The sequence below is a fragment of the Homo sapiens genome, chromosome 2, assembly GCF_000001405.40.
Source record: "Homo sapiens chromosome 2, GRCh38.p14 Primary Assembly".
Taxonomy (NCBI): Eukaryota; Metazoa; Chordata; class Mammalia; order Primates; family Hominidae; genus Homo; species Homo sapiens.
Window position 1 is genome coordinate 105,449,934 of NC_000002.12, and position 9,048 is coordinate 105,458,981.

The following is a 9,048-nucleotide window of genomic DNA, read 5'->3' on the forward strand; positions in this document are numbered from 1 at the left end:
ACAGGTGCTAGTGCACACAACCTTGCGTATTCATTTCACACTACCTTAATGTAATGGCTTCTTATTACCTTAAAAACCCAATGCATCTGCCATATTAAGAAGAGATGTCCAAATAAAATCCATGTTTAATGATTCATTCTTGATCCCCTAATTGAATTTTTTTTTTCTTAGACGGAGTTTTGCTCTTGTTGCCCAGGCTGGAGTGCAGTGGCGCAATCTTACCTCACTGTAACCTCCGCCTCCTGGGTTCAAGTGATTCTCCTGCCTCAGCCTCCCAAGTAGCTGGGATTACAGGCATGCGCCACCATGCCTGGCTAATCCTTTGTATTTAGTAGAGAGGGGTTTTCACCATGTCAGTCAGGCTGGTCTCGAGTTCCTGACCTCAGGTGATCCTCCTGCCTCGGCATCCCAAAGTGCTGGGATTACAGGCGTGAACCACCGCATCTGGCCCCCGAATTTACTTTCAATTAGTCCCTGTTTTGTCTTTAGCCACTCTTCAGCTTTGTGTAATTAGAGTTAAAAGTTTGAGTCTGGTACAGTTTGAAAACTCTTGTCTCCTGTAGAAGAAATTCCTAAGAAACAAAACAAACAAACAAAAATCACTCTGAGCTTTAAAGTCCCACGAGGGGTTAACTTTGCAGACTGCAGTCACTGGCATTAGCTTGCGCTCAGTACGTGGGCACCGTTGAAGACATGTGGACCCAGGTGTCTTGGAAGCACAGCCACACAGCTGCTGCTGTGTTAACTGATGTGTATCTTCTGTGATCATGTCGAAGTTACTCCTGGCACCTAACTGGTAACCCAACCCCTGGCACCGGGCTGGCCCAGTGCTGATGGAGAGCTTCTATAACTACAGTGGGAGGGATGGGTTGGTTTTGATCATCTTGGCACTATAAAGAGAATTTAGGAAAGGGGGTAGAAACTGGCTCTGTAGGCAAAGAGTAGGGTGAGTGTTAACAAGCAGAACACATAGGATTTTTGAACTTGGAAGCTGGATGTCCCCCTAATTGTCAGATGCTGAAACTTACCCAACGGAATATTTTCAGAAGCCTTAGATAAGGGAAGGCATCGATAATAGCAACTATGCAGGAAGACATTGAATTGGACTACCTGAACAGTAAATGGCATAACATAACACATAACACACAAGGGTTAAAAAGCAAACACAAACTGGAGAAAATATTATAATATATATGATGAAGTATTAATATTACTAATACAAAGTTTTTATACATTAATATAACAAAAGTAATCAATCCAATAGAAAATTTGGTCAAGTACATAAAGCTGTTAATTTACCAAGCAACAACAAAAGACGCCATTGACCTTATGAAAAATGTGCCTAACCTCACTAGTTATAAAGAAGTGCAGGCCAAGCACGGTAGCTCACACCTGTAATCCCAGCACTTTGGGATGCCAAGGTGGGCAGATCACTTGAGCTCAGAAGTTTGAGACCAGCCTGGGCAACATGGTGAAATCCCATTTCTACAAAAAATACAAAAATTATCCAGGAGTGGTGGTGGACTCCTGAGGTCCCAGCTACTGGAAAGGCTGAGGTGGGAGGATTGCTGGAGCCCAGGAGGTAAAAGCTGCAGAGAGCCATGATTGTGTCACTGCACTCTAGCCTGGGCCACAGAGGAGAAAGTCTCAAAAAAAAAAAAAAAAAAATGTGCAAAGTGAAAAAACCCCAGCAATATCAAGATACCACTTTTTCCTACCACACTGGTAAAAATTAGAAATTGGCAGAGGCCAATGCAGGTGCCGCTGGAGGCAAACAGCAACTCTGGTGTACTGCTGGTGTGAGTATAAGGTCAGATTTCTGGAGGGCAAGTGTGATAGTTAATTTTGTGTCAACTTAACTAGGGCATAAGGCATCCAGACATTTGGTCAAACAGTACTGTGGGTGCTTCTGTGAGGGAGATTTTGGATGAGATTAGTATTTGAATCAGTGGACAGAGTAAAGAAGAATGCCTTCCATGGGTGGGCCTCGTCCAAATAGTTGAAGGCGTGAAAAGAACAAAAGGCTGGCCTTACCCCAAGTAGGAGAGAATCCTTCTCCCTGGTGGTCTTCATCAGCCATGAATCATTGGGTCTTCTTGGCTGTACAGCAGACTGTTGGTTTTTGAACTAGAACTAGACATCAGCTATGCAGATTTTAAACTTAGCAGCCTTCATAACTGCATGAGTCAATTCCTTATAAGTCTCTCTGTCGTTTTTTGTATACGTAGGTAAATAGATCTATCCTTTTTCCCTTGCTCTCTTTTTCTCCATATACATATTTATATATGTGTGTATATACATATATGTGTGTATATATATATACATATATATGCACACAAATCTAGAGGTCTCTAAGAGCAGTTTAACAATGTTTGTTAAAATTTAAAATAAGCATGCCATTTGATGTAGAAATTCCATATCTAGAACTCTGGTCTAAGAATATGTTTGATAGGATGCAAGAATTTTCATCATGAACATATAGTAGAAAAAATGGAAACAAAGTGCTTTCCTACAGAGTTTTATTAGGTTGGTGCAAAAGTAACTGCAGTTTTTGCCATTTTTATAAGTAATGGTAAGGGGAGGCCAAGGCAGGATGATTGCTTAAGCCCAGGAGTTCAAGACCAGCTTGGGCAACATAGTGAGACCCCTATCTCTACAAAAATATATATAGTTTTAAATTAGCCTGTCATGGTGGTATGTGCCTATGGTCTCAGGTATTCAGGAAGCTGAAGTGGGAGGATCTCTTGAACCCAGGAGGTTGAGGCTGCAGTGAGCCGTGACAGCACCACAGCACTCTAGCCTGGGCAACAGAGTAAGACCCTGACTCCAAAAAAAAAAAAAAAAAGATGAAATAGCGCTGTATTTATTGACTTATTATACAGTGAGTTTAAAAAGCATATTATAGGCTGGGTGTGGTGACTGAAGCCTGTAATCCCAGCATTTTGTGAGGCCGAAGCAGGTGGATCACCTGAGGTCAGGAGTTTGAGACCAGCCTGGCCAACATGGTGAAACCTTGTCTCTACTAATAATACAAAAATTAATCGAGCGTGGTGGCACAGGCCTGTAATCCCAGCTACTTGGGAGGCTGAGGCATGAGAATCACTTGAACTCAGGAGGCAGAGGTTGCAGTGAGCTGAGATTGCTCCATTGCACTCCGTCCCGGGCAACGAGAGCGAAACTTGTTCCCCCCCACCCCCCAAAAAAAAAACATAAGTGTCATGTATAGTATGATTCGACTGCTGTAAATGGCATGTTACTTGTGTGTATATGCATATTATGGAGAAAGCTGTCCAGAAATACATTTAGTACTATGTTGACATTAGATCCAGTGGGTCATGTGTGGGTAGTGGGAAATTGGGTCTTTATTTTATGCTTTATACTTTTCTGGATTACTATGTTTGATAATAAACATATTTCTTTTTTTCTTTTTCTTTTTTTTTTCTTTTTTCTTGGTGGGGAAAGGGTCTTGCTTTGTCATTCAGGCTGGAGTGTAGTGGCATGATCACAGCTCACTGTAGCCTCAAACTCCTGGGCTCAAGCTATCCTTCTGTCTCAGCCTCCTGAGTAACTGGAACCACAGGCATATGCCACCACACCCAACTAATTTTTAATTTTTTCGTAGAGACGGGGTCTTGCTATGTTGCCCAGGTTGGTCTCAAACTCATGGGCTCAAGCAATTATTCCACCTCAGCCTCTCAAAGTGCTGGGATTACAGGCATGAGCCACTTCACCCAGCAAATATGTATCATTTTTAGTCAGAAAAAAGGTAAGTTATGTTCAATCAAATAATAAATTTCCACAAAGATTCGAGGACTCAGCTGGAACTAAAATTTTACCTCCAGGATTCTGTCTAATCTCTTCTCACCCACCTTGTTGTGCAGCCGCTGTACGTTGCACCAGCAATCCCAAACCGTAAATTCTCTCCATGGGTAGCAGTATGGTGGGAGTCAGGGGATGCTCCATTAGAAACTTCTGAGACTTCCCTGGCAAGAAATAGGAAGGTTCTCAGGTTCCTCCCCCATCCATTTGTGAAGAATTTCCACATCCTCTTCTGAACCCCACCATGTCAACAATGACAGCAGTGACAAAAGTGTCTGATGTCCAAGTGGACACATCACTCTCAGTTCAAAATTCTGTTTTAATAGAAGCACCAAGATAATAATTGGAGGTATAACCATCCTTGGCGGCAGCCTCAAACAGTTATAATCCTACAGCAGAGATTCCACTTGCCCCTTTAGAATGCACATTCGGCCAGGCATAGTGGCTCACGCCTGTAATCCCAGCACTTTGGGAGGCTGAGGCGAGTGGATCACCTGAGGTCAGGAGTTCGAGACCATCCTGGCCAACATGGTGAAACCCTGTCTCTACTAAAAATACAAAAAATTAGCCGAGCGTGGTGGCGCATGCCTGTAATCCCAGCTACTCAGGAGGCCAAGGCAGGTGAATTGCTTGAACCCAGGAGGCGAGATTACAGTGAGCACATTCAAGCTAACAGATGCTCACGTTTTAAAAACTGATTATGCATTTTGAACCTGTTTACATCTTCAACAATCTTGGATATTATGCAGTGTTCCTAAGTTTATAACAGGCTGTACAAAGTAGTACTTTCTTGCATTTATCTAAGCACACCTGTTTTATACTTTTGGTAAGAGGTGCTCTTCGGGTTTGAGCTTGAGCCCTGGTTCACCTGGAACATCCTATTCAACCATCGCCTTCTCCAGGCTTTTGTGTCTCTTGACAAAAAATTCTCAACTGTATTCTGACTTTCCGTGGCAACATCTTAGTTACCTAACTTCAGTCCCACTGAGTCTTCTTAAAATTGTGGCAACCAGAACTTCCCAAAGAGAAAACGAGTGATGATTGGTGCAGGGATAACATTCAAAGAATTTTACTGATGGGATGCTGGCCAATCGGAATGGAGGTGGGCACAGAGGCCTCCTGCTGTGCAGGTACCGGGGTAACCATCAGGTTGCTGGAACAGGCAGCAGTCCAGTAGAGTGTGGGGTGACTTAGGCATCTTCATGCCATAGTGGGGCCGCCTGGGGGAGCTTGTGAGGCTGCTATTACCAAGGAATAAGGAAGTATTTCAACATTTTAATAACCAGAGGGCAAGCCTTGGTTTTGTGCTTGGATAATGCTGTCTCTTTCCATCATTGTACTGCCATCAGGCTTGCATTTCAAAGAGGAGAACTGATTTCTAATTCCAGTTTCTCACTGAGTACTCATGAGAACTCTGGCCAAGTAAAACTAGGGTTTGGGGCGCAGCAGAGAGTTGGGTCAAATGGCTCCCAGCAACATGAGTCATTAGTTCCAGACTTTGAACTTCTTCCTCTAACTATAGTCACTGATTTACACACACAACACAGATGCTTCAAGTGCCAACAGCCAATAACCTATAACCCGAATGACATTAGGCTGGGACTGAAAGAAGTCAGGCAGCAGGCAGGCAAGCCTTTTAAAGAAAACTGAATCCAAGATCAACAACCCCGGAACTATGTGCCATTGGATCTCCAGCAACACTGAGGATTAGGGGTTGGACAAAAGAAATTTTTATTAAAAAATGTTTATCTTAATTGGCTATTCCTGTACTTTGTGTCAGAATTTCCTGTTTTGTTGTTTACTTCCTTTTTAAATTGTAAACCTCCACTTGCATTCTCCTACCCTCAGATAGCAATCATCAGGATCAGTCATTCTCTTCCTATATTTTCATTTCTTCCAGTTTCTAGCTAGGGTGTTTGTGTTTAGGGCAGTGCCATGGACACACAACATGAGAGGCAGGAAAGCCAGTAATCAACGCGTTCAGGAAACAAATGCCAATAAAGAAGCATTAACGTGAATGATTTGCCTTTGAGTCAGTGAACAAATACCATCCCCTCCAGCCTTTGCCTCTCCTGTCTTTTCTACTGATTGCATCAGAGAGCAGAGACCTGGCTGTTGGCCATACCACAAAAGACAGCTGGTTACAGGACAAGCATCCTTCTGAGGTTACCAAGTCAAAGCCACCTGGGAATAGTCCTGGGTCCCTAGTCACACACTGAAATTCCTCTTGCTTAAGTCTGGAGTAACTGTGGTAAAAGCTGTGCTTTAAAGTTGGTTTTGGGTCCTGGAGTGGAAAGCTTGTCGGATTCAGGGAATCCGACAAGCTTCACCTCCCCAAAACACACCTCCTAATATCAGCACATTGGGGCTTGGGATTTTACAGTTGGTTTTGGGATGAGAGTGGAAAGCTTGTTGGATTCAGGGATATGTGGGAATAAAGAAAGTCCCGTGTGCCTCTATGTGCATGTCTGTGTGCATGAGTGCATGCGTGTGTGCGTGTGTCTACTTGCAGAGTACCTAGGGATGTGAATTAGGTGTGAACCCTTTCCTAAGTGTGTTGTTGGCACACACAAAAGGGAGCATATTGACCAGGATCAAACCTAGCAGCCAAGTGATCATGGTAGGAAAGTATATTCCTGGAGCATCCCCAGAATCTTCTGACTGGGCTGAACTGAAGACACTCTATCATGTGTAGTGCAGAGATAAATTGTGGGGGAATAAACCAGATGGTGATCTGAATTATTAAGTAATGGAAAAGGTTGGTTTCAGGTTTTTGAGCTCACAGTGACACCCACCCATTTGGAGAAAATGCACATCAAGAGAGCCTCAGACTCAACAGAATCCTTTAGAGATTTTCTCAAGGTCTTCGTCTGTGATAATACATCTTTCCTTTGATAATTATGCTTTTTATGTTCTTCAGTGACACCATGAAAGGTGAAAATAGGGTCAACTATTTTGACAAGATCTTCATATCTATACATGAAGATAGTTAATTTGATGTCTGAGATGCATGGGTCCTGGGCAATTGTAACATGTTTAGCAGGATTTTGAAATCATTAGGAAGACAAAGCATTGAGCTTCTGAGCATTCAAGGTCTAAAGGAGTGTTTCCCATTAAAGCAACACACGTATACCACTTCCATTCTGCTGCAAGCCCAGCCTAGTTGGAGGGAAAGTAATGGTGGTATTTATCAGTTTTAAGAGGACAGTAGTCATATTGCAAATGAGCTTTTGCAACTTCATTAAGAGCTTGGAGACCAATTTAGTTAACATACTGAAGTAATTAGCTATAAAAGTCCAAGGATGGCATTTGGGTGGAGGAGAGGATGGTGGACAGGGAACCTCTGAGTGGGAAGGCAATGGGGTCTAGAGGTGCCATGTGAGAAGGCTTCTGGTGATGCCAGGTTGAGCATGTCCTGATTTAAATATAAAACCTTTTATTGATTGTGCTTGTATGCAGATTGAATGACCACTCACACACCTTTGCATCAGAACTTGAATGGAAGCATTAAGTTGGTGATATAGAGATATATAATGCAATTATAGAATATATTTATCATTTAATATATGTACATATATATATATATATATATATCTAGTGGTTATAAACTTGTTTGGGAGTTTCACATGCACACACTTTTGAACCAAAGGGAACAGAACACATTTTGTCAAATTCAGCAGGCTCTTTAATCATGTTGGGTGCCTGGTGTGGAGGCTACACTTGAATTTTGGAAATGATAAAATTTTATTTACCCTTAGTAAAATATAGTTTCCTGGTTTGGGGCCTGGGCAGAAGAAAGCCTTTTAAAAGAGGCTTATTGAAATCTCTTAAAGTGTTCTTGGACATTAAGAAAACAATAGTCAGTTTTATTAAGTGCAAATGTTGTAGAAACATAGAGGTTATATTTCATCTAAAGTACACATGAAATTCAACAGTCACAGTAAAGTTATAAAAAGTCCAGGAAGGGAGAGATTTGGTTTTGCTGAGCTAAAATAGTTGAAAAATAAATAGTGACATTTGACAAAATCAAGATGTCACCATATTTGTCAATGTCCCCTTGAAATGAACTCTTCCCTGTGTAGAACAAGAGGCCTTGTTCTCCAGTTCACTTCACGGTACCAGACCATTATAATTTATGAAAATATGGAAGGTTTTAAGCCAACATAGATTGACCTGGAAAACTCTCCAGACACATATGAGTGGTCTTGGCACTAATTGATTCTCTGATGTCTTGTTGGTACTACAGTGAAGACATTTGCACAGAGGCACGAAGAATTGCCACTTAACTGGGAGAGGTGAAGGGTGGCCAAGAGAGATTAGTGAACATATGAGGCTGGATTTCCACCCTCAAGCTGAAAACTACGGACTTCAGGTCTAAAAGCAGGGCTGACGGGGTACAAAGAAGGGAATGAGGGGGAGGAAGAATGTGAGAGTGCTGGAGAACAGGACGGGGGAGAGGACAGAGAGAGGGAGCCGGGGGCGGTGACAAACATAAATAGAAGATGCACACCAGGAACAAGCGGGACTGCAGCCATCTTGTTTTGATTTAGAAGACATCCAGAAAATCAAATGTCACATGAAAATGCTACCACACACCCAACAATTTATTTGCCAAGGGGATGGATGGGCTGCTCCTCCAAGAAAAAGTCAAAAGGATAAAGTAGATAACAAACCTTTCTAAGCATATCATGAGGAACTAATTCAAGGAGTTGCCTAATCTTCTCCACGTGTACATTTTTCTTACGTACAGGTTGTCTTAGTCCATTCGGGTTGTTATAACAACTATCATAGACTAGGTGGCTTGCAAACAACAAAAACTTATTTCTTACAGTTCTGGAGGCTGGGAAGTCCAAGATCAAGTGGCAGGCAGATGCGGTGTCTGGTGAGGGCTTGTTTCCTGGTTCATAGATGGTGCCTCCTCACTATAACCTCACATGGTATAAGGTGTGAGGGAAGGGCCGGGCGCGGTGGCTCAAGCCTGTAATCCCAGCACTTTGGGAGGCTGAGGCGGGCAGATCACAAGGTCAGGAGATCGAGACCATCTTGGCCAACATGGTGAAACCCCGTCTCTACTAAAAATACAAAAAAAATTAGCCGGGCTTGGTGGCGGGCACCTGTAGTCCCAACTACTGGGGAGGCTGAGGCAGGAGAATGGCGTGAACCCGGGAGGCAGAGCTTGCAGTGAGCGTAGATTGCGCCACTGCACTCCAGCCTTGGAGACAGAGCAAG

General features: G+C 42.9%; 1 long non-coding RNA gene across 1 annotated transcript; it reads right to left on the reverse strand.

Annotated features, from left to right (window-relative positions):
- Positions 1-393: 393 nt before the first annotated feature.
- On the reverse strand, positions 394-4,758 carry LOC105373529 (uncharacterized). The gene is made up of 3 exons (XR_923141.1): positions 4,630-4,758; positions 3,870-3,983; positions 394-572 (listed from the first exon to the last, which is right to left on the reverse strand). It is a non-coding gene; the product is annotated as an uncharacterized LOC105373529 (long non-coding RNA).
- Positions 4,759-9,048: the final 4,290 nt, after the last annotated feature.